The sequence below is a fragment of the Homo sapiens genome, chromosome 22, assembly GCF_000001405.40.
Source record: "Homo sapiens chromosome 22, GRCh38.p14 Primary Assembly".
NCBI lineage: Eukaryota > Metazoa > Chordata > Mammalia > Primates > Hominidae > Homo > Homo sapiens.
The window spans coordinates 36,559,823-36,583,170 of record NC_000022.11 but is presented as its reverse complement, the minus strand read 5'-3'; the positions used below and the strand labels follow the sequence as shown (position 1 = coordinate 36,583,170).

Sequence of the window (23,348 nt, the reverse complement as noted above, 5' to 3'; positions counted from 1 at the left end):
GAGCCACCATGTCCAGCCCTAAATTAATTCTTCCTGGAAAAGCAGAGGTGTGAGCTGGATGGGGCACAATCCATGCCTTCCGGAGTATTCCTAAACCCAAGACCTCTGCAGCATGAGGAACTGGACCAACCTGAGCCCCACCAGGAACGCACAACGCTTGGGCCCCTTAAATTTCCTATGAAGTCACAAGGTCCATGAAACAGATGTAGCGTCTTCCTTCACTTGTAAGTGTGAGCAATTCACACACTCCACAGATCTTTCTGGAGTGGGCCCCCCTGTATGCCAGGCCCTCTTTGAGGTACTGAGGTTATGGCCCTCAGGGTACTTGCAGTCTGCAAAAAATGAAACTAACAGGTGAATGATATAACATGTTAGACTAAGATAAGCCCTATGGGGAAAAAAGTCAAGCAGGGACGGGGGATGGGGAATTCTAGAGTAGGGATGGGATCAAGAATGAACAGTGGCCAGGCGTGGTGGCGGGTGCCTGTAATCTCAGCACTTTGGGAGGCCAAGGTGGGCAGATCACCTGAGGTTGGGAGTTCGAGACCAGCCTGACCAACATGGAGAAACCCCGTCTCTACTAAAAATACCAAAAAATTTAGCCAGGCGTGGTGGTGCATGCCTGTATTCCCAGCTACTCAGGAGGCTGAGGCAGGAAAATCATTTGAACCCAGGAGGTGGAGGTTGCAGTGAGCTGAGACCATGCCATTGCACTCCAGCCTGGACAACAAGAGCAAAACTCTGTCTCAAAAAAAAAAAAGAAAGAAAGAAAGAGCAAACAGCAAGTGCAAAGGTCCTGGGTTGGGAGCATGCCTGGAATATCTGAGGAATAGGACTGAGCCCCGTGAGACAAGAAGAGAGTGAGCAAGGAAGAGCAAAGGAAGAGCAAGTGTGGAGAGCCTCAAGGACCCTGTGGGTTGCAGCGAGAATTTGGGGGTTTGCTCTGATTGACAGACACCATCTCACTTTTGAACAGGCTCTGGCTGTTGTGTTCATAAGGGACTGAAATCGGACCAGGGCAGAAGCCGACAGAAGAGTTAAAACTCTGTTGCTATAATTTAGGCAGGAGGTGATGACAGCTTGAACCAGAGTGGTAGCAGTGAAGGGGGTGAAATAGGATCAATGTTGAAAATATTTCCAGGGCACCGCACACAGGATTTTCTGAAAGGCTGAATGTGGATTTCGAGACAAAGGAAGGAGGCAAGGATGGTGCCAAGGGGCCGTGCCCATGGGGGAACAACAGGTTGAGACTGGGGCTCAATATCAGACATATTCAGTTAGAGATGCCTGTGGGACTTCCTGGGACAATGTCACGGGCTCGGTATGGACCTGAGGCCAGGGTTCACAGGAGAGGTCCTGGCCAGAGATAGTGAGTTTTCACGTTGTTGGCACGTAGGTGATATTTAAAGCCATGAAACTCAATGAACTCACCGAGGGAGTGGCACAGAGAGAGAAGGGGAGAAGCCCAGACACTAAGCTCCAGGACACCACGAAGGCTTAGGGGCCAGTGAGATGAGGACACTCCAGGAAAGGGGGCTGAGCAGGAGTGGCCAATGAGGTGTCTGGGGTAACTCCCACCATCCTTGCTACACCAGCTGGACTGGGGATGTAGAGCAGAGAGGGAGGACAGAGAATGCCAGAAGAGCATGGCTGGACAGCAGTTCAGAGCTCATCTCCGGGGGTGGAAAGGATGGTGGGGCTCACCGCGCTCAAGCCAGCAGGCCAAGCTTAAGATGTTGTCCAGCCTCTTGGAGGGCTTGGCAGAAGGAAGGCACTCAATTAATATCTGATGGACGAATGAATGAATGAATTAATGAATGGACACTCTTACTCCCCAGTGCCTATGAGTAACTGAGGAGTCCCCCAGCCTCTCCTGAACCACACTGATAGAGAAACAGCTATAGGAGTCCCTCATCACTACCCCGGCCTCCATAAAGCCATGACCAATATGGATTTCGCCCCACCTATAACTGGCTTACCCAGTAATGAATGTGACTGGACTGTTTCTCCCAACCAGCGCTGTGGGCCCATCGAATGTGTCTGCTGTGGCAGCCTCCATATCCTCTTCCCTCATTAACCAAAGATTAAGGAGCGTGGTGAGGAACGAGGCTGTGGTGACCGGGGTGTGACTTCTCTTGAATGTCAAGCGTGCATCCATGCATCTGTCTTTGTGCATGAGGGCATGAGTCTGTGCTGTGTTCTGTGTCTTTCGGTACCCGCATGTCTGTGTGTTTGAGTGTCTATGTCTGAATGTGTAAGCGCTTGTGTGTTTGCACATGTCTGTGTGTATGTGGGTCCCTGTGTGTTGTGTGTGTGTATGTGTGCGTGTTGTGTCCAGGAGATGGGAGGTGACATTTCCTAGCTGTCCTATTGTGATTTGGAGTAAGGGAAGAAGAATCAGAGGAATTTGGCTTCCTCCAACAGTCATGTATTAAGCACCTACTGTGTGCCAGACCCCAAAATCCACTCTATTGTGGCCACTCATTGTCCAGGACTGCGGGGTATGGTCAGGTCTCCCCACTCCATACTCAGAGCCTGGGGCTGGAGGTGTGGGTGAGGGGCCCAGGGCTGGCTGCTGTCTCTGACGTACTCCCTCCAGGGGGTGTGACACAGGCCACACACACAGGCCTCAATGGGGGGATCACCAGGCCACACTCCATAGCCAGAAGTGGAGAGAAGGGGGAAGGGAGGCAGGCCCTCATCAAAGCAGATGCCCCCACTCAGCTCCCCACAACACACACAAGAGAGGTACACCCAGTTGCGCTTAAATTTGACACCTCCCCAGGGATTCACTGACCACCTGAGGACGATGACAGGCAGCCTGGGGGAAGCCAACAGCAGGAGTGGAACCAAGGAGGGAGGCAGAAGGCGGCCAAGGCAGGGAGGACCCATACGATGGCCGTCTGGGGGGTGAATTTACAGAACTTGGACACCAGTGGGAGGCAGGCTTTGGCACACTCGGGGCTTCAAATCCAGCTCTGCCACTTCCCGGTGAACCTCCCTGGGCCTCGGTTTCCTTGCAATGGGGATGATGCTCATTGTCATCTTCCTAGCATTGCCATGAGGATTAAGGGAGTTAGAGTCGGACAGCAATTCGCACCTGCCCCGAACCCAGTGAGCATTCAGCAGGCATTCGCCACAATCCGTGTTCACTGTCGCATCCCATTGCAGAGCGATTGCCACGATCCATGCTCACTGTTGTGTCCCATTGCATAGCGATGAGCGCAAAGAACAAAGAGGAAACAGGGAGGAGAGATGGGCGCCCGGGGAGGGCTTCAGTTTGCAACAGGGTGGTCAGAAAGTCCTTGTGGCAAAGGTGACATTGAAGCAGAGACCTAAAGGAGGTGAGGGAGTGCTTGGGAGGTGCATATATCCTGGAAGAGCATTCAGGCAGAGGGAACCGCCAGTGCAAAGCATCTGAAGCTGGCAGGTTCATAACAGCCAGGACGCCCTGTGATAAGCAGACGAGGGGAAGGCAGGTGGCAGAAGGGGTGGGGACCAGGACTTGGGAGCCTCTGCTTTCCTCTGAGATGAGACCACCACGGGTGGGTTCTGAGCAGGGGACAGGCATGGTCTGATGTCCAGGCTACCAGTATCACTCCAGCTTCTGCAGGAGAGGGAGACCACTTAGGAGACCACAGCTATCTCCAGGCTCAAAAGGCAGGTGCTCGGGCCCGGTAGTGGAGAGGTGGCTGAGAAGGGGTTTGATCCTATATGTATTTGACAAGACAGCCGGCAGCTTTTTTTTTTTTTTTTTTTTTTTTTTGAGACAGAGTTTCACTTTTGTTGCCCAGGCTGGAGTGCAGTGGTATGATCTCAGCTCACTGCAACCTCCACCTCCTGGGTTCAAGTGATTCTCCTGCCTCATCCTCCCAAGTAGCTGGGATTACAAGTGTCTGCCACCACGCCCAGCTAATTTTTTGTATTTAGTAGAGACGGGTTTTTACCATGTTGGTCAGGCTGGTCTCAAACTCCTGACCTCAGGTGATCCACCCACCTCGGCTTCCCAAAGTGCTGGGATTACAGGTGTGAGCTATCATGCCCAGTCGAGCTGGCAGCTTTTACTGACAGCCTGGATGGGAGAAGTAAGAGAGAGGTCTTGTGGATGGCGAGGAGTTCTGGCTGGCAGATGGGGCAAACATTACTGCCCTTCTCTGAGGCTGGGAATGTAGGACGAGGCTGCTGTGCGGGGAGGTGACCACTCTATTGCCGGTCTGTTTCATCTTGGTTTCTGTTACGGAATCTTCTCCCCACGGACTGTGAACAGCTTGAGGACACCACAAGGAGTGGCTGCAAATAGAGTGTCCTCCTCCCACCCATCCACCCCCTCCAGCACAGGGCCTTTCCCAGGATCAGACCCAGGAGAGGTTTGCTAAGTGAATAAACAAGGTACCGCCCGCCCTAGGGCAGCTGGCATGTTCACCCTCTTCCCAGAATGAGGTCAGAGGAGGATATTGGGTGTCAACCTGGGCCAGAGCCACCCTTCCTGGCCTCAGACAGTGTCCCTCCTTCCCATTGCCCCTCTCTCCCCACCTCCACCAGTCCCACCAGGGAACATGAGCCAGGGAAGTGTGGGGAGACCAGGTGTCAAAACCCGAGGTTGTTACTTAGAATAAAAGGGCCTGAATTCAAGGGGTGCTCCACTCTGTGACCTTTGGCAAGTTACACAACTTCTCTGAGCCTCCCGTGAACAGTGCTTTTTTAGGTCTCCCCAGAGCCCCAGTGGAACAGCATGAGGGGCGTCCACCAGGCTTCACCCGCCTAGAGTTTTAGAAGTGTAATGATCCATCATTCCGGCTTTTTTTTTTTTTTTGAGATTGAGTCTCGCTCTGTCACCCAGGCTGGAGTGCAGTGGTGCCATCTCGGCTCACTGCAACCTCCGCCTCCTGGGTTCAAGCAATTCTTCTGTCTCAGTAGCTGGGATTACAGGTGCACGCCATCACACCCAGCTAATTTTTTGTATTTTTTTTTAGTAGAGACGGGGTTTCACCATGTTGGCCAGGTTGGTCTCAAACTCCTCACCTCAAGTGATCTGCCAGCCTTGGCCTCCCAAAGTGCTGGGATGACAGGTGTGAGCTACCGCACCCAGCCCATCATCCTAGCTTAGGATCACCCAGCCCCACCCTCCCATTTTACAGATGAGGGAAAAACGGAGGCCCAAGAGGGAAAATGACCTGCCCCAGCCCGGCACACTTTCTGGGACTGCACCCTGGGAGCATTATCCAGGTCCATTATCCTGCTACCTGTCCACTGCCCAGGGCTCTCAGCCCCTTCTAGAAAACATTGCCATGAGGGGGCTTCTGAGAGACATCCCCTCCAGAAGTCATCACAACCAGTGCGGCTAAAACTATTGTGACCCCACCCCATGGTTAGGAAACATCTAAGCTGCCACTTGTACTCACTCACATCTGCAGAACCAGAGCAAAATGTTCCCCAAAAGCCACCCAGCCTTCCTGAACGCACACTGGCCGGCAGTTTCTATTCTGTCCTAGTTCATTTCTTTTTTTTTTTTTTTTTTTTCCAAGACGGAGTCTCACTCTGTCGCCAGACTGGAGCGCGGTGGCATGATCTCGGCTCACTGCAACCTCCGCCTCCCCGGTTCAAGCGAGTCTCCTGCCTCAGCCTCCCAAGTAGGTGGGACTACGGGCCTGCGCCACCACGCCTGGCTCATTTTTGTATTTTTAGTAGAGACCGGGTTTCACCATGTTGGCCAGGATGGTCTCGATCTCTTGACCTCGTGATCCACCCGCCTCGGCCTCCCAAAGTGCTGGGATTACAGGTGTGAACCACCGCGCCCGGCCCCGGTTCATTTCTTTAAGGGCTGGTTGCTACCACTACACCGATTTCATGACCTAGTAATGAGTCACAACCCACACTTTAATAAATAGCAGCCTCAGTAACCCAAAGCCCGGTGAGAGACAGCAACAATTTGCTCCGCTGGAATGATGAGCACGATTTGCTGGTGCTCCTCGCATACCAGACATTATTCTCATTGCTTCAAGTGTGTGTACTCAGTTACTCCTCATAGCACCCTGTGAGCTAAGTGTGCTTGTGATCTCCATATGGCAGAGGGGGCAGCAGAGGCCCCCGGGGGACCAGGTCACAGCTAGGAAGATGGACTCCGGCAGCCTTTCTCCTGAGCCTGTGCGACTGGTCACCAATCTCTACTGACAGCAGGAAGCAGGGATGTATCCGGCATCCTGCACAGATGGTACTCCCCAAGTTAGCTCCCTGGGCTCTCAAAATGCTTTTCATGTGCTATTATATATAGCACACGTTCATTGAACACTTGACGATGTGCCAGGCCTGACACTTGAAACATTATCTTAATTCATCTTCACAACCACCCTATGAGGGTGAGATGATCAGTGTCCCCATCACACAGATGGGAAAGGCAAGGCACAGAGGCTACAGAGCCAGTGGGGGTCCAGGAGGAGACCCCAAGCGGGCTGCATCTGGAACCCATGCTCCAAACCATAGCGTTTGACTTCTCTTTCTATTTCTCACCCACCATCTTTGTTCTCCTCTTTCTTCTTTGAGGTCTTTCTGACTCTCTCTCTCTCACACACACACACACATACACACACACACACACACGCACACACAGAGGCATTTTGGAGTGTTTTTTTTTTTAATTTTTTATTTCCAGAGGTTGTTGGGGAACAGGTGGTGTTTGGTTACATGAGTTAGTTCTTCAGTGGTGATTTGTGAGATTGTGGTGCACCCATCATCCAAGCAGGACACAATGAACCCAATTTGTAGCCTTTTATACCTCATCCTCTCCCCACCCTTTCCCCCTGAATCCCCAGAGTCCATTCTATCATTCTTATGCCTTTGCATCCTCGTAGGTTAGCTCCCACTTATGAGTGAGAACATATAATGTTTGGTTTTCCATTCCTGAGTTACTTCACTTAGAATAATAGTCTCCGATCTCACCCAGGTTGCTGCAAATGCCATTAGTCATTCCTTTTTATTGCTGAGTAGTATTCCATCATATTTATACCACAGTCTTTATCCACTCATTGATGGATAGGTATTTGGGTTGGTTCCACAATTTTGCACTTGCAAATTGTACTGCTATAAACATGCATCACACAGGCATTTTTTGAAACGCATCCCTTCTCACGGCCATTGGCTACACCAGCCAGCACAGCGTGGAAGGAGAAGATGGGAAGAGATGCCCAAGAGACTAGAAAGCTCCTTGCAACCCAGCAGGTCTGTGCAGGTCTGTGACTGTAGACTGTATCCCCTAATGCGGATTGATCCTAATGATCCTAATTCATCCTAATGATGAGTCAAATCCCAGATGGGATAAGAGCATAACACTAGGCACAGAAAATGAGGAACCTGCCCGCTACATACCTGATTACGGTGACTATTTTGATTCAAGGTCATTACTCGCACAGGGAACAGGTAAGGCAGCAGCATGGCCTGGCTGTATGGGCCCTGGGGAGAGGTCTTGATGGGCACGGGACCATCATTGAGGGACAGGGCCTTAGAGATCGTCTACTCCAACCTCATCAGAGTGCAGATCTGAGGCCAGAGAAGGAATAGCACATGCTCAGGTCCCGTGGAGAGCTAGGCAAAGAGTGCACAGCAGGCCCAGGTCTCCTGACCTCCCCCCGTCGTCACATCCCCACCCCCACTGACCACCAGCCCACCCTCCTCCGCTGCCAGACACAGTGAGAAAACCTCGGGGCCCCGCGTGCCCTGTCTGGCCTGGCCTCTGGCTATGCCCACCATGAAGCACCATGTCACAGCGTGATGGCCAGAGAGGCTGGGGCCCACCGAGGCACAAGATCACAAGATGATTTGTCTAGGGAGTTTGGCCAAAAAGCAGATTTGCAAAGAACAGATAGCTCAGGCCACCCGTTCCAGAAGGCAAGATGTCGCTTGCCTCCTGGGCACTTAGGATACTCTTTATTTCTGTCACCCTCATAGAAAATAATAAATTGCTCATAGTTCACTGACATCCTGCATTTTCTAAAGCGTCCACATTCCTCTTCCTGCTTAATCCCTGTAACCCAGTAAGGTAGACGGAGTTAGGATTTTCATTTCCATTTTACAGAAAAGGAAATTGGGGCCAAGGAACACTATTATTTGCCCAAGGTCTTCTTGAGATGGTCACTAACCATTGGGGCTCCCCAAGCCTCAGGCCTAAGCCTCTCTTCATCCATAGGCAAGCTCTCTGTGTGTCTGTGAGATAGCTTCAACCCAGATGGCACCCCTGTGCTCCACATCTGCACACCCAACTGCCCCACCCACACTCTACATGCACATCCCCAAGGCATCTCAAACTCAGCATGTCCAAAACCAAACCTTTGATCTTCCTCCTCTAGTCTCTTTTTTTGTTTGTTTTGTTTTGTTTTGGTTTTGTTTTGTTTTGTTGAGACAGAGTTCCGCTCTTGTTGCCCAGGCTGGAGTGCAATGGCACAATTTTGGTGCACGGCAACCTCCACCTCCCAGGTTCAAGCAATTCTCCTGCCTCAGCTTCCCAAGTAGCTGGGTTTACAGGGATGCGCCACCACCCCTGGCTAATTTTGTATTTTTTTAGTAGAGATGGGGTTTCACCATGTTGGCCAGGCTGGTTTCGAACTCCTGACCTCAGGTGATCCACCGGCCTCAGCCTTCCAAAGTGCTGGGATTACAGGCGTGAGCCACCTCGCCCAGGCTCCTCCCCTACTCTCTACTCACTGCTAGGCTGGGTCCTCTCCCAGTCCCCCTAAGTGGTTTTTTCCACCCAGCTGGCAAGTCTGAAACCTAGAAGTTAACCTCAACGCCACCCTCTTCACTACCCATATCCATCCATCAAGCTTCAATTCACCTCCTAAACATCTCTCAGACACATCTGCCTCTGTCCATGCCCTTTGTACCTACCCTGGCCCAAGCACCGGCATCACTCCTCTCCGATCAGCTGCAGTAGCCTTCTCACTGCTTCCCTGGAGCCACCCTTGACCCCTTCGTAATCCGTTTGCTTCTTAAGATGCAAATCAGATCATGACAGCCCTGCCTGTTCTAAGCCCTTTAAAGTTTCCCATTGCTCTTGGGATAAAGCTAAGCTCTTTAGCTCAACTCATGAGGCCCCACGTGGCCCAGACCCGCCTGCCTCCTCTCCTTAGGTGCTCCCCACACTCCTCCACTGGCTCCTCCCTTCAGTGCTCCCCACACTCTTCCACTGGCTCCTCGTGATCCAGCCTTCTTCCAGGTCTCTGAAGGAGCCATGCCTCCTCCACCTTCGGCTCCTGCTGCTCTCTCTCCCACAGCCCTGCCTTCATTGTGCCTAATCAGCTGCTCCTTATTCGCCAGAGGTCAGCTCTACCACCACTTCCTCAGGGAGACCTGTCCTGATCCCCACATAAGCTCAGAGGATGCTTTGAAGGGCAGCAAAGTGTAGAGCCTGAAAAGAAGGGAATGCAGTGGTTAGACACACAGACCCTAGAGTCAGACTGCCTGGATTCACAAATCTTGAACAAATGGCTTAACCTCTCCTTGCTTCAGTTTGGTCTCTGTAGAGTGGGGATAATTAAAATACCTATATAGGCCATGTGTGGTGGCTCACGCCTGCACTCCCGGCACTTTGGGAGGCTGAGGCAGGCATATCATTTGAGGCCAGAAGTTCGAGACCAGGCTGGCCAACATGGTGAAACCCCGTCTCTACTAAAAATACAAAAATTAGCCAGGTGTGATGGCACATGGCCTGTAATCTAAGCTACTTGGGAGGCTGAGACACAAGAATCACTCAAACCCAGGAGGCAGAGGTTACAGTGAGCCGAGATCACGCCACTGCTCTCCAGCCTGGGTGACAGAGCAAGACTCTGTCTCAAAAAAATAATAATAATAATTAAAAAGTAAAAAACAAAAGCATTGGATTTGAATCCAGGTCTATCACATTTCAGAGGCCATACTATTATATGCTGCTTAAGATAATGCAATAAGTAGAACTAAAATAAATTTAAAAAATAAAAATAATATGAAGTACTTACTTCACAGAGTTGTAATGAGAACTAACGAGTTTGTGTATGTGCAGTGCTCAAAACAGTCCTCGGCATACTCTAAGCTCTCTATGGACATTAGTTGTCTACATGTGACATTAGCCTGTCACATACCCTCATGGTGCCATATAGGTACTTTTCTTTCATAGCACGTTATCCAGGCTGTGTGATTATCTGATGGCATACATGTCCTTCATGAGAGTATAAGCTCTAGAAAGACATGAACCAGGCCTGTTTTGGACCCCTCATGTCTCTCATGCCAAGCCCAGGTCTAGCACAGCGGTGGGCACTCAGTCCATATTTGCTCACTGGATTCACAGCTAGCCTAGAGCAAAGCATCTCCCTGCTCTGGACCACGTGGCCTTTTCCCCAGTATAGAGTATACTCTTGGCCACAGCTGGCCAAGTATGACTAGCAGGCCAAATCCAGCCCATCCAGCCCACCACCTGATTTTTTTTTTTTTTTTGAGATGGAGTCTCACTCACTCTGTCACCCACTGCCCAGGCTAGAGTGCAGTGGCTTGATCTCAGCTCACTGCAACTTCTGCCTCCTGGGTTCAAACGATTCTCCTGCCTCGGGCTCCCGAGTAGCTGGGACTACAGGCATGCGCCACCACGCCGGGCTAATTTTTGTATTTTTAGTAGAGATGGGGTTTCGCCATATTGGCCATGCTGGTCTCGAACTCCTGACCTCAAGTGATCCAGCCCCCTCGGCCTCCCAAAGTGATTTTGTAAATAAAGTTTTATTGGAAGACAACCACGTTCATTTGTTTACATATTGTTTATGGCTGTTTATGTGCTACAACTGCAAAGTTAAGAAATTGCAACTGAGACCATATGGCCAGCAAAGATGAAAATATTTGCTGTCTTTCCCTTCACAGAACAAGTTTGCCAGTGTCAGCTTTAGGCGTGTGTAATCTCCTTGAAGCCAAAGCCCATGGCTTCATGGGGCTGGTATGAGGTTTACACCGCTCTTAGAACAAGGCCTGGTACAGGGGAGGGGCTCCATAAATGTTGTCAGGTAATGTGAAGTGCCATATGCTTACTCATAGGAGACCAGTAAATATTTGTTCATTAAATAAATCAGATATTTCCTGACTCTTGTGATAGATTTTGGCAACAAGACCATGCTTGGCTTTGTAGGAAGTGAGGACAATTTATAGGGAAGTTATGCCTGGACTGATGTTTTGGGAAGAGGGACCTCAGAAATAAAAATTGCTACCTTTTACTGTGCAACTTCTAGTGTGAGACACAGTAAAAGGTAGGACCCAATTTAATTCTTTTTTTTTTTTTTTTTGTTTTTGAGACAGAATCTTGCTGTGACGCCCAGGCTGGAGTGCAGTGGTGAGATCCTGGCTCACTGCAACCTCTGCCTCCCGCGTTCAAGCGATTCTCCTGCCTCAGCCCCCCAAGTAGCTGGGGCTATGGGTGTGCACCACCATGCCCAGCTAATTTTTTTATTTTTGGTAGAGACGAGGTTTCATCATATTGGCTAGGCTGGTCTTGAACTCCTGACCTCAAGTGATCCACCAGCCTCGGCCTCCCAAAGTGCTGGGATTACAGGTGTGAGCCACCGAGCCCAGCCCCAATTTAATTCTTATAACAGCACTTCTCAAACTTTCATATGCATGCAAATCTTGCTCTGGGGATCTCATTAAAATGGAGATTATGACTCAGTTGGGGGAAAGAGCTGAGGGGCGGCATTTCTTTTTTCTTTTTTTCTGAGATGGAACCTCGCTCCGTCACCCAGGCTAGAGTGCAGTGGCGAAATCTCAGTTTACTGCAACCTCTGCCTCCCGGGTTCAAGCGGTTCTCCTGCCTCAGCCTCCCAAGTAGCTGAGATTACAGGCACTTACCGTCACGCCCGGCTAATTTTTGTATTTTTAGTAGAAGCAAGGTTTCGCCATGCTGGCCAGGTTGGTCTCGAACTCCTGACTTCATGTGATCCGCTCACCTCAGCATCCCAAAGTGCTGGGATTACAGGCATGAGCCACCATGCCTGGCAGGGCTGCCTTTCTAATCAGATGCCAATGCCGCTGGGCCTCAGGCCACACTTGCAGCAGCAAGGCCTTACAACATTCCTATAAGCTAAATATTATTTTTACTATTCCCATTTCACAGGATGGGGAAACTGAGGCTCAGAGCAGTAATGACCCTTGCCCAAGGGTCACACTGTTGATAACTGACAAAGCGAGGATTCAAAGTCAAGTGTGACTAACTCCAAAATCCCCATTCCGTTTGTGACACTACCCAGCCAGAAATACCTCCTTCAAGAAACGTCTCCAATGTAGAAGTCCCTGCTTGCTCCTAAACCAGCTTCCTTCCCACCTGGATCTGGGCCCTGCCAAGTCTAGTGGCCTAAGCATGGTGCTATTTGCTGGTTGCCCACTGTTGCCTTTTTTTTTTTTTTTTTTTTTGAGATGGAGTCTTGCTCTGTTGCCCAGGCTGGGGTGCAGTGGCGCGATCTCAGCTCACTGCAACCTCCGCCTCCCAAGTTGAAGCTATCTTCCTGCCTCAGCACCCCCAGTAGCTGAGACTACTGACACGCACCACCATGCCCGGCTAATTTTTGTGTTTTTTTCAGTAGAGACGGGGTTTCACCATGTTAGCCAGGCTGGTCTCGAACTCCTGACCTCAGGTGATCCACCCACCTCTGCCTCCCAAAGTGCTGGGATTACAGGCGTGAGCCACCGCGCCCGGCCTGTTGCCTTCTTTCTGGGCAAAGAGGCCTCTTCCACGAAAGGCCAGAGCTTGGGGCTGGCTCTTCTGTGCCGAAGAGGCTTCTGTTTGTATTCCCCGCTGGTGGTCATTATTTAGAGCATGTCATACGCTGCCTTGGTGGCTTCTGAAGCCGTTCTGATTCCTCCACATTGCTCTTTGCTGGCTGCAACACAGCAGACCCCTCCCTGCTCTCCCGCCGCCCTCCATCTTGTCCACACATGCCTGGCCTCTGGCTGCCCACACGCATGCATCCCAGCTCCCTCCGCAGCCGACGCTCCCTCCCCCTGCTGGCAGGAGGGCTGAGCTGGGGCATCCGGGTTCCCACAGCAGATGGGGCTCAACTGGAAAAATCAAGCCCTGGGCTGCTGTGAGTCCATTTGCTGTGAGGGCACAATTGGGTCGGCGACCTGCAGGCATCCTGTGGGTAGTAAGACCCCACTTTCTTGGAGGGGGAAGGCCAGAGCCTTTCTTCTGCCTGTTCCTCTGAGCTGCTGCTGCTGCGCCTCGGAAGCCACACCGACCTCTTTCTTTCTTTCCTTCTCTCTTCTGTCATTCCCCTTTGTGGCTGGCCAGGACCATGTCCACATGGAAAGGGCAGAGCTATTAGAAACTATCTAACGGCCGGGCGCGGTGGCTCAGGCCTGTAATCCCAGCACTTTGGAAGGCCGAGGCCGGTGGATCACCTGAGGTCATGAGTTTGAGACCAGCCTGGCCAACATGGCGAAAACCCATCTCTACTAAAAATACAAAAATTAGCCGGACATGGTGGCGGGCGCCTATAATCCCAGCTACTTGGGAGGCTGAGGCAGGAGAATTGCTTGAACCCCGAAGACGGAGGTTGCAGTGAGTCAAGATCACGCCACTGCACTCCAGCCTGGGGTATAGAGCAAGACTCTGTATCTAAAACAAACAAACAAAAAGAAACCATCTAACAGGCCATACCCCATGTTACACAGGGGAAAAACAGAGGAAGTGAGCACCCGCCTTAGCCACACAGCAAGTGAGTGGCACAGGTGGGACCCAAACCCAGTTCTCCAGGCCCTGTGGCACTCACCCTTCCTGGGCTCCTTGGAAGCCACATAGGGAGACTACAGGGTGCTCCAAAAGTTGAGCTGGTCTGGATATGAATCCTGGTTCACTAGCTGGGTGGCAGGGGAGTTTCTCTCTCTGAACCTCAATTTTCTTGTCTGTAAATTGGGGCAAAAAAACACACCCTGCCGGACTGTTATGAGGATGAAATTATATCATATATGTTAGGTACCTGCTCAAGACCCAACACCGAATGGGTGTTTAACAAATATTCTCTCTCTTCTCCTGGGTTTTCAGTAAGCTCTCACCATCCTCATGTGCTTATAAAGATGAGAGTTAAGGTGGCTTTTTAGTCATGCATGTCTGTCACGCGTGGGTGTGGATGTGGGTGTGTTTGGGCTGGGGGATCAGGTTAGGGATACAGCGTGTTGTCTTAGCAATGATTTGCAAGGAGAGAACACCTCCCTGGGGTCTGTGGAGGAGCAGCCCCATCCCGCCCAAGAGAAGGAGGGTGCTGAGGCTGCAGAGTAGCCCAGCCACCCCAAGCCCCCATCCTCCCACCCCTGCTTCCCTATATGCAGCTCAGTTTTGCCCCAAGAGCCCTGCCCTTCTTCAGGTCCCCCCCAAATAACCCACTCACCCATTTGTGAGCAGTGTAGACTATGCTGCAGATCCATGGTGAGGACAGAAGAAGAGTTTTCACATCACACACATCTCAGCAAACTGCCTAAAATCCCCTTTTAACGCCTGTAATCCCAGCACTTTGGGAGGCCGAGGCGGGCAGATCACTTGAGGTCAGGAGTTCAAGACCAGCCTGGCCAACATAGCGAAACCCCGTCTCTACTAAAAATACAAAAACTAGCCAGGTGTGATGGCGCACACCTGTAGTCCCACCTACTTGGGAGGCTGAGGCAGGAGAATCGCTTGAACCTGGGAGGTGGAGGCTGCAGTGAGCCGAGATCACACCACTACACTCCAGCCTGGGCAACAGAGCAAGACTCCATCTCAAAAAATAAAAATAAAAATAAATTTTAAAAAAGAAAAAGAAAAATCCCTACAGTTCTATATAGAGAAATTCTCTTCTCACAGATCCTTCTTGAACACACTCCCACCCAAAAGGGTGGGGACGGGGATGGGGATAAGAGGAAGCTCCGCTCCTGGCACATTCCCCTCCAAAACCAACCTCCCTGACCAATCCCTGGGCTTGGCCAAAGGGTCCTGTAATTATCAGGACTCAACTTCCTTAGAAACCACTTAAGCACCATTTAAAGAAGACATCTTTGGCCAGGCACGGTGGCTCAAGCCTGTAATCCCAGCACTTTGGGAGGCCAAGGTGGGCAGATCATGAGGTCAAGAGTTTGAGACCAGCCTGGCCAACATAGTGAAACCCCATCTCTACTAAAAGTACAAAAATTAGCCAAGCATGGTGGTACACGCCTGTAGTCCCAGCTACTTGGGAGGCTGAGGCAGGAGAATCACTTGAACCCAGGAGGCAGAAGTTGCAGTGAGCCGAGATTGCACCACTGCACTCCAGCCTGGGTGACAGGGGAAGACTCCGTCTCAAAAAATAATAATAATAAAGAAGACATATTTTCCCTCACCCCTGCCTCAAGCCAGCTCTGCCTCCTGCCTAGCCCATGGCTCCCAGGACACGGAGCTGGGTCCTGAGGTCACTCACTGCCTATTTGAATTTGGATTAAAAAAAAAATGTTTTACTTCGCAAAGACACTTTGTGAAGGGCTCCCCAACACCTCTGGGTCCTCATTCAGGTGCTGCTCCCCCCACAAACACATGTAGCCCCGACCTCTGCCCTTAGCCACCTGTCCCCCTTTTCCCCCATCCACCCCCAACTGTAGGAGCCCTGGCCCTCACCTTCTGTTTCTCCCTTTTCATTACCATATTCTTTTCTTCTCCGGTCCTGTTTGTCAGTCCTTATCTAGAGGGGTTTCTCTTCTTACTTTGTTTTCTTTGCAATGTGCCTGTTCCTTCCTTCTGGACCACGACCCCACATTTATTCACTTAATGAGCTTCTATTGGCAGACTACTGTGTCGTTGAACAGAGAGGATAAAGACAAGAAACTTTTTCTTTGTAAAGCCACAGTCCTTGTCTCACGACCCATGGTTCATGGTGGAAGCATATGTATACACAAATATTTATTATAATATCATGCATTGAATGTTTATTATAGACACCAGAAACTTATCTAAGTGCATTGCCTGAATCAACTCATTTAATCCTCACAACAATCTTAGGAGCTTGGCATTATTACCATCCCTGCTTTACAGATGAGGAAACTGAGGCACACAGAGGTGAGATACTTTTTCTATTGCACAGCTAATAAATGCTGCAGCCAGACTCAAATCCAACCCACGTGGTTCCACCTAACCACTATACCACACTGCCTCTCAGCGTGCCCAAGGGCCCCAAAGTGCAGACGAGGGAGCTCATAACTTTGCCTAAGGAAGTCAGGGAAGGCTTTACAGAAGAGGGGACTTCGAGCTGGGTTTTGAAGGATGAAGAAGAGTTTGCTGAGTGAAGAATAGGAAAGACATTCCAGTAGGAAGCTCTGTATTTCAAAAGTCAGCAGCATGAAATGACATGTCGTGGGAAGTTTGATGTGGTGGGACGAGAGAGAACATGAGGACTGGGAGCCGTGGGAGCTGGAAGTGGGCAGAGGCCAAGTCACACAGGGCCCTGTGTGCCTGACGGTGTGCTGGAGTTTGGCCCTGGAGGCAGTGGGGAGCTCCTGCAGGGCTGTGAGCTGGGCAGTGGCCTGCTCGCTGTCTCTCCCTCCCTAGGATTGCAAAGCAACCTCTCCTCTAAGGCTGTGTCCATAAACCCCCAGCGCCTCGGGGCTGCTCTCCCACCTGCCTCTGTGTGCCTCAGTCTCACAGCCATGCCGTTCTCTTTCTCCCTGACCCTCTGTGTTCCACAGGGGCCGTGAGGGCCTCCAGCATTTTCCCAATCCTGAGTGTGATTCTGCTTTTCATGGGTGGCCTCTGCATCGCAGCCAGCGAGTTCTACAAAACTCGACACAACATCATCCTGAGTGCCGGCATCTTCTTCGTGTCTGCAGGTAACAGCCACTGATCCAGTCCTGCCACTGGGAAGAAGGCTGGGGTGTGGGTGCTCAGGGGCCACGAGGGCCTGGCAGAGAGAGATGGGGAGAGAGGAGAGGAAATCTCCAAGACTTGCACTAGGTCGTGTTGCAGGGGAGGAAGGTGGTGGGGGGGCTCCTGTCCTGTAGCAACTCCCGAGCCTGTACCAAATCCTCCAGGAGCATCCCCACACCCCATCTTCTTCCCACCACTTGAGAAAAGGCCCAAATGCCCGCTTCCTCTCAGGGTACTTGGCCAATTGCCACTTACCCTTTCCCTTCCCGGTGCAAGTAAACCCATGAGGAGGCTGGAGAGAGGGCACCCAAGTGCCTCGCTGTTCCAACCCCTATGGGATACTCAGCTTCACCTTGGAAACCAAGGGTGGACTCTCCCCTCACTGTTCTACTCAGGTGGGAGCAGGCAGGCACCCACATCCAGATGTCTGAGCCCAGTTACATGACAGATGAGTCACACTCACTTCAGATGCCAGAAAAAGAACCTGGGTGTAGCCTGAGCCATTTAATAAGAATGACCAACATCAGGCCGGGTGCAGTGGCTCACGCCTGCAATCCCAGCACTTTGGGAGGCTGAGACAGGAGGATCACTTGAGCTCAGGAGTCCGAGACCAGCCTGGGCAACACAGCGAGGCCTCAAGACCGCGTCTCTACAGAAATTTTTTTATTTTAATCAGCTGGGCATGGTGACGCATACATAATCCCAGCTACTAGAGAGGCTAAGGTGGGAGGATCGCTTGATCCCAGGAGTTTGAGACTGCAGTGAGCTGTGATCACACCACTGCACTCCAGCCTGGGTGACAGAGCAAGACTGTATCTTAAAAAAAAAAAAAGGAACCACCAACATCTAAGAGTACTCACATGTATTCACCCATTTAACCCTCTCCGTGGCCCTAAAGAGTAAGGCTTAACCTTACTCCCATTCTACAGATCTGGAAACTCAAACCAAGGTTAACTTGCGAAGGCTTTGAACGCAGGCCAGCCTGGCTCCATCAGCCCGCCTTCACCCGCTGCTACACCAGCTTTGAAGCCCTGTGCAGCCTTAAGCAAGTTCCTTAACCTCTCTGTGCTTGTTTCCTCATCTGTGCCCTGCTTGAGAAGCACCAAGCAGTGAAAGCAGGTAGAGAAGGCTCAATGAACAATATCTATTATTAGTTACTCAGCGCCTTGTGAAATGCCTCCCTTCTCCCGCCCTGCCCATGTCTGTTTCCATTAGCGCTTCCCTTGTGGCTCTCTCTGAATGGAAAGATAAAATGTTAAGGGGAAGCTTGCGGATGTCCATCTACACCGCCCCACCTGTTCATGAAGGCGCGGGACCGGGGAAGGCCCACACAGCTGTCCCCGTCCTTTACGGCTGCCCTGTGGCCGACTTCCTGAGAAACTAACGTCCTTCTCTCTGATCCCCCACCCCGCCACCCTGCGCCCCGCAGGTCTGAGTAACATCATTGGCATCATAGTGTACATATCTGCCAATGCCGGAGACCCCTCCAAGAGCGACTCCAAAAAGAATAGTTACTCATACGGCTGGTCCTTCTACTTCGGGGCCCTGTCCTTCATCATCGCCGAGATGGTCGGGGTGCTGGCGGTGCACATGTTTATCGACCGGCACAAACAGCTGCGGGCCACGGCCCGCGCCACGGACTACCTCCAGGCCTCTGCCATCACCCGCATCCCCAGCTACCGCTACCGCTACCAGCGCCGCAGCCGCTCCAGCTCGCGCTCCACGGAGCCCTCACACTCCAGGGACGCCTCCCCCGTGGGCATCAAGGGCTTCAACACCCTGCCGTCCACGGAGATCTCCATGTACACGCTCAGCAGGGACCCCCTGAAGGCCGCCACCACGCCCACCGCCACCTACAACTCCGACAGGGATAACAGCTTCCTCCAGGTTCACAACTGTATCCAGAAGGAGAACAAGGACTCTCTCCACTCCAACACAGCCAACCGCCGGACCACCCCCGTATAAAGACCGCGGGCCTCGCCAGAAGACCGCGGGAGGAGGGCGCGGTCCCCGGGGGCGGGGCGGGGCGGGGAGACCCAGACCCTCCGCTGGGAGACCTTCCAAAAGCAAAAACAAAAAACAAAAAAAACAAAAAAACAAAAAACAAAAAAACACACACACACAAAAAAAGAGAAAAAACATAACAAGTAAATTTTAAAAAAAAGAACAAAATATAAGAGGAACAAAGAAGCAAAACAACAGGAAATGTGGGAAAATATAAACGAGGGAAGAAAACAAACTTTAAAAAAAAGCGAGAGGGATAAAAAATTAAAAATAGAAAATAAATCTAAAAGAAAATGCATGATTTCCCATGTACCATTATTTTAACATTTAATAAAAATCAATTTAAATGAAAAAATAAAAGGGAACCAAGATAACATTAAAGCAAAAAAAAAAAAAATGAGAACAGAAAGGAAAGGGGATGTCCTTTGTATTTTTCAGGGTTTATGTTACTTTTTTTTTTTTTTTTTAACTCGGGGAGAGTTACTTTTCTGTTCCCTTTAACCCCCAGCGGGCCCTGCCTCCCTGGGAGATTGGGGGGCGAGACTCAGGGGCCCTGGGGCCAGGTGAGCCTGCAGTCACTGCCAGGTCCCTGGAGCCCCTGGGTGGGTGCCCCAGGAACTCCAGGAAGGCTCAGAGCTCGAGCCGGCTCCGCCCAGCATTGATGGGGCAATCGTAGGCCTCCAGGTGACCGAGCCCTTGTCCCTCCTCTCCGTTAGGGTGCCTGGAGGGGGGTACACTTGGGGCTTGCCTGGCCCCAGGTTCCCAGTCCTTAATGCTCCTTAACCCACTGTGATGACTTCCTAGGCCTTGAGGAAAGGGAAGGAGAGGGGAGGCTGCCGGTGGCTTACCAAGATGCCGGAAACCCCGGAATCCTCAGGGTGAGCCTCTTGGGGTCATGTCCCCAAGCTCCTGTCCTTGGGGTCAGGAGATGCCACCCCCCCCCCCGGGGGACATGAAACAGCTCTCCCTCCTCACCCCTCACCTCAGGGCCACCTGATGACCCTGGGGCGATGGTGGACCCCCTGACTCATAAGCCCCCCAGTCCCCTGGGAAGGGGGTTCATTGACCCTTTGGGGGTCCTTGGACTCACTGATGCCCCCTTGGGGCCCAGCGGGTTCAACAATGACACTGCAAAAAGGCTTCTTTTTACAAAAGAAAAAGGAAAAACAAGTGGTGATTTTTTTTTAATAAAAAAACCACAGACTATAAATAAATGTAAATACAAAATAAGTGGATTTACTTGCAAGAAAATCAGATAGTATTTTTCTTTTAATTCTTTTCCAGCTTTAAACTGTGAAAACAAAAAATGGGGCGGGGTGGGGGACTTAAACTTTAGCAGGGAACTTGTAAAGAAAAAAAAAACAGAAAACGAATATACAAATCCATTTACAAAAACAAAGCAAAACCGTTGTGAGAGGTGAGAGCTGGGCTTGAAGGTTGGAGGGAGTAGCGGAAGGTCCCAGTGAGCTGCAGGGGGTCTCTGTGATGGAAAGGTGGCTTCCTCAGACAAGGAAGGTGCTGCGAATGGGGGAAGACAGAATCCAACAAAGAAAGAGACCACACACCCCACACGCACACAGGCACGTTCACACACACATACACAGTCCACTTAGCCCAGCACTGCAGTCACTCACAGGGACACACTCAGTCTCAACCCTTCCATCCCATACACGGCCAGGGGCGTGGCTCAAAGGAAATTGACTCATGCCCTCCAAAGCCATGGACGACAACAACTCCACACTGGCCTTTGTGTTCATTCACAACCTCCCAACAGAGCATACACATGAACACACACATGCACACATACCCACACACGCACACATACCCACACACACACACACACCACTCGCATGCATGGGAAGGGCACCCGTCTAGAATCCAGGACTGGATTCCGGAATTCCTTGCTGCATGGCCTCTCTGGGCCTTAATTTTCCCCCCATGTAAGCATGTGGATTGACCCAGAGAAGCACTAAAGGCCCATTCTTGCTCTATGTATCTGTGACTTAAGATCTGCCACCTGCCCCGAGGATATGCCAGGGATGACCAGGACAGCTGCCACCAAGCCCCCAGGCTCATCATCAGTCAGCCTCTCAGACACACACACACACACACACCATATACCTCCTCACTGTGCTCCCCGAACACCTGCCCCCACATCCAATGTCAAAGCAAAAATACACACATGTGAGCAAACATAAAGCTGTTCAGGCAAAGAGGGGAAAGACGCAGGGGTCCCCAAAGCCCTTCTTCACTTTGTGTCCCCTTGCTGCGATCATGGAGAGTTAAAGAGGCTTCCTTGGGAGAAGAGCTCTGCCACCAGGGCTTCCCCAGTGTCTTTGGGGGTCTGTGAAAAAGAGGATCCTCTGAGGTTTACTGGGAGGGCTCAAGGCTGAGGGAATGGAGAGGAAAATTTTAGCAGTTCCATCCCAGTGTAAGGACCAACCCCAAAAGTTAAACTTGCACCACAGACTAAAGGTCAAGGGCATCCTGTGTTTCTCCCCTTTCTTCCCCAGAGTGACAAGGGCCAGTTCAGACTGACAGAAATCCAACAGCTTTCCTGAGCTGGAAATTTCAGAACAGTCTGCAAGTTACTCCCAGGTGACTGAAGGTCAAGGTGAGGCCCCCCTGCCTCTGCCTGCGAGTCTCCCCCGGTTTGCATTTTTCTTGACACCGGCATTTCCTGAGGTTGAGCTCTCTGGGGAGTTCTAGAGAATGGCTAGTAAGGCTTTTTGAGCTTGCACATCTCACCTGCCTTTCCTGTCTTTTGCCTGGGAAAGGAAAGTTATTTTCCCAGGTCAGCAAGGGGCAGAACATCGGCCAGCCCAGCCCAGAAGTACAGGGGGAGGTCATGGGCCCTGGGGCAGAACAATGGGAGACAATTCAAGGTGTGGTAACAACAACCAAGTTGCCCTCAGTCTGGGCAGAAACTGAACTCTACCCCTCTCCCACCCCAATCTTGCCCGCCATCCCACCAGATTCCAGACCTAAAGGGATCAAGGATGAGAGCGAAGGGAGAAGGGAGGGTCCCCAAGAAAACCGCACCCAAGCGAGCACTGTCTGAAGAGAAAAACTAGCTCCAGTTCTCCGAATTCTGGCAGAGCGTCTGGGAAGGCGATCAGTGCTTCTTTCCATGGCGCAAGGCCTGGGTTCTGGGTGTGCTTGAAGAAAGCCACTGGGGTGTGGGGTGACATCGCCATGGCTGAGAAGGGGCTAGGGGGTCCGGAGGGAAGGAGCCAGGACCGGAACTGCAAGGGCGTTGCTGCCCAGGGGTGTGGATGATTGCTCATGTCCAGCTCAGACCAGTTCAAGAAACTAACCTCCATTTATTTTCTTGGTGAGTCCTTTTTTTTTTTTTCAGACTGTTAACAGAAAAAAAATTTTAAAAAGCAGAAAACTGAAAAAAAAAATCCTGGTACATGAAATAAAGATTTTTTTTTTTTATAGCTTGGTCCTCACTTCAGTGAATTTCTTTAATTCCTTTCCCAACTCCTGGCATCCTATTTAAAACAATCCTAAAGCTACAGATTATTGGGGATGAGAGGTTTAGATGCTGTACAGTAGGGTGTCCCCCCACTCTCTAGATCATGAGTTCCCTATTAAATATCCTTTAGGGATACTTGCACGCCTCCAGTGACAGCGGGCTCACCCCCTCCAAAGATAGCACCAGCCAGTGCTAAGCAGCACTCTTTGGCAAAAGTCTTCTCTGCACACTGAATTTTAATCCACCTCTTCCTTCACACTCCAACAACACTGAATAAATCCCTTCCCTTTTCAGCATGACAGCCCCTCAGATATTTGAAGACAGAGAGCATGACGTCCTTGAGTTTTATCTTTTAGAATAAAGCAGCCCCACTCAACATCCCAGTTACACTCCAGGGTTTCCATTTTCCCCCGTGAAATTGTGCAGTTTGGAATGGACATGACCCTACCAGTTTACTCAGGGGGCTCCCTGCAGAGGGGTGCTTCTCAGGAAGAGGAGAGCCATGGAGTGGCAGAAGAATGGGGAGGGTCCCTGGGACTCTCTTAACTTGAAGAGATGAGAAAGACAAGATGGAATGCTAACAGGAGGATTTGACCTTTGACATCAGAGAAAGGCCCCATTGGAAGGATGACCTGTCATGCCCCAAAACAGCTGTCTAAGATAACAGTGCTATCTAAGATGTGTTGGGGAAGCATACTCACTGTACAGCTCTCCTGGGGCTCCAGAGAAAGGAGATGGCAAGCAGATGACACCTACACACCGCACAGACCTAAGAGAAGGTAAGCCCTGTATGACGTGGCCCGGAAAAGTCTACTCTAGAAGGGTCCAATGTTCAAAACTCCCTGTTCAACTCAGCCTCAGTCTGCTGGGGCCACACCACCAAGCCCCCACCAATCTCAATTATCTCTCTCTCCAGGCTCACCCCTAACACTTGTGGGGTCCAGGGCAAGAGTAGAAAGGGAGGCTCACTCTCCATAACTTAAGTCTGAAGATTTAACAGCTGCACAT

At 51.1% G+C, this 23,348-nt stretch overlaps 1 protein-coding gene across 4 annotated transcripts in view, besides 3 other annotated features; it reads left to right on the top strand.

The window, feature by feature from the left end:
• Positions 1 to 22,314, top strand: part of CACNG2 (calcium voltage-gated channel auxiliary subunit gamma 2) — a 142,896-nt gene extending 120,582 nt beyond the window's left edge. For 2 of the 4 annotated variants that reach the window (NM_001379051.1, NM_006078.5), the window contains 2 exons: positions 16,678 to 16,818; positions 18,285 to 22,314. In NM_001379051.1, the coding sequence (NP_001365980.1) occupies positions 16,678 to 16,818; positions 18,285 to 18,820 (677 nt within the window). In that variant the 3' untranslated portion in view covers positions 18,821 to 22,314. Of the gene's footprint in view, positions 1 to 12,930; positions 13,080 to 16,677; positions 16,819 to 17,784; positions 17,975 to 18,284 lie in introns of those variants that run through there. The other 2 variants (NR_166440.1, XM_017028531.3) reach the window with 2 other exon arrangements.
• Positions 12,228 to 12,819: an enhancer, noted in NCBI's record as "H3K27ac-H3K4me1 hESC enhancer chr22:36966399-36966990 (GRCh37/hg19 assembly coordinates)". NCBI's record gives its function as "activates a minimal SCP1, AML or CMV promoter by ChIP-STARR-seq in naive H9 embryonic stem cells {active_cell/tissue: H9 hESC(naive)}" and the evidence as "EXISTENCE:reporter gene assay evidence [ECO:0000049][PMID:30033119]".
• Positions 19,596 to 20,111: an enhancer, noted in NCBI's record as "H3K27ac-H3K4me1 hESC enhancer chr22:36959107-36959622 (GRCh37/hg19 assembly coordinates)". NCBI's record gives its function as "activates a minimal SCP1, AML or CMV promoter by ChIP-STARR-seq in primed H9 embryonic stem cells {active_cell/tissue: H9 hESC(primed)}" and the evidence as "EXISTENCE:reporter gene assay evidence [ECO:0000049][PMID:30033119]".
• Positions 19,729 to 19,957: a silencer, noted in NCBI's record as "fragment chr22:36959261-36959489 (GRCh37/hg19 assembly coordinates)". NCBI's record gives its function as "represses an EF-1alpha promoter that drives an FKBP-Casp9 reporter gene in an ReSE screen in phorbol 12-myristate 13-acetate-treated (for megakaryocytic differentiation) K562 erythroleukemia cells {active_cell/tissue: K562(+PMA)}" and the evidence as "EXISTENCE:reporter gene assay evidence [ECO:0000049][PMID:32094911]".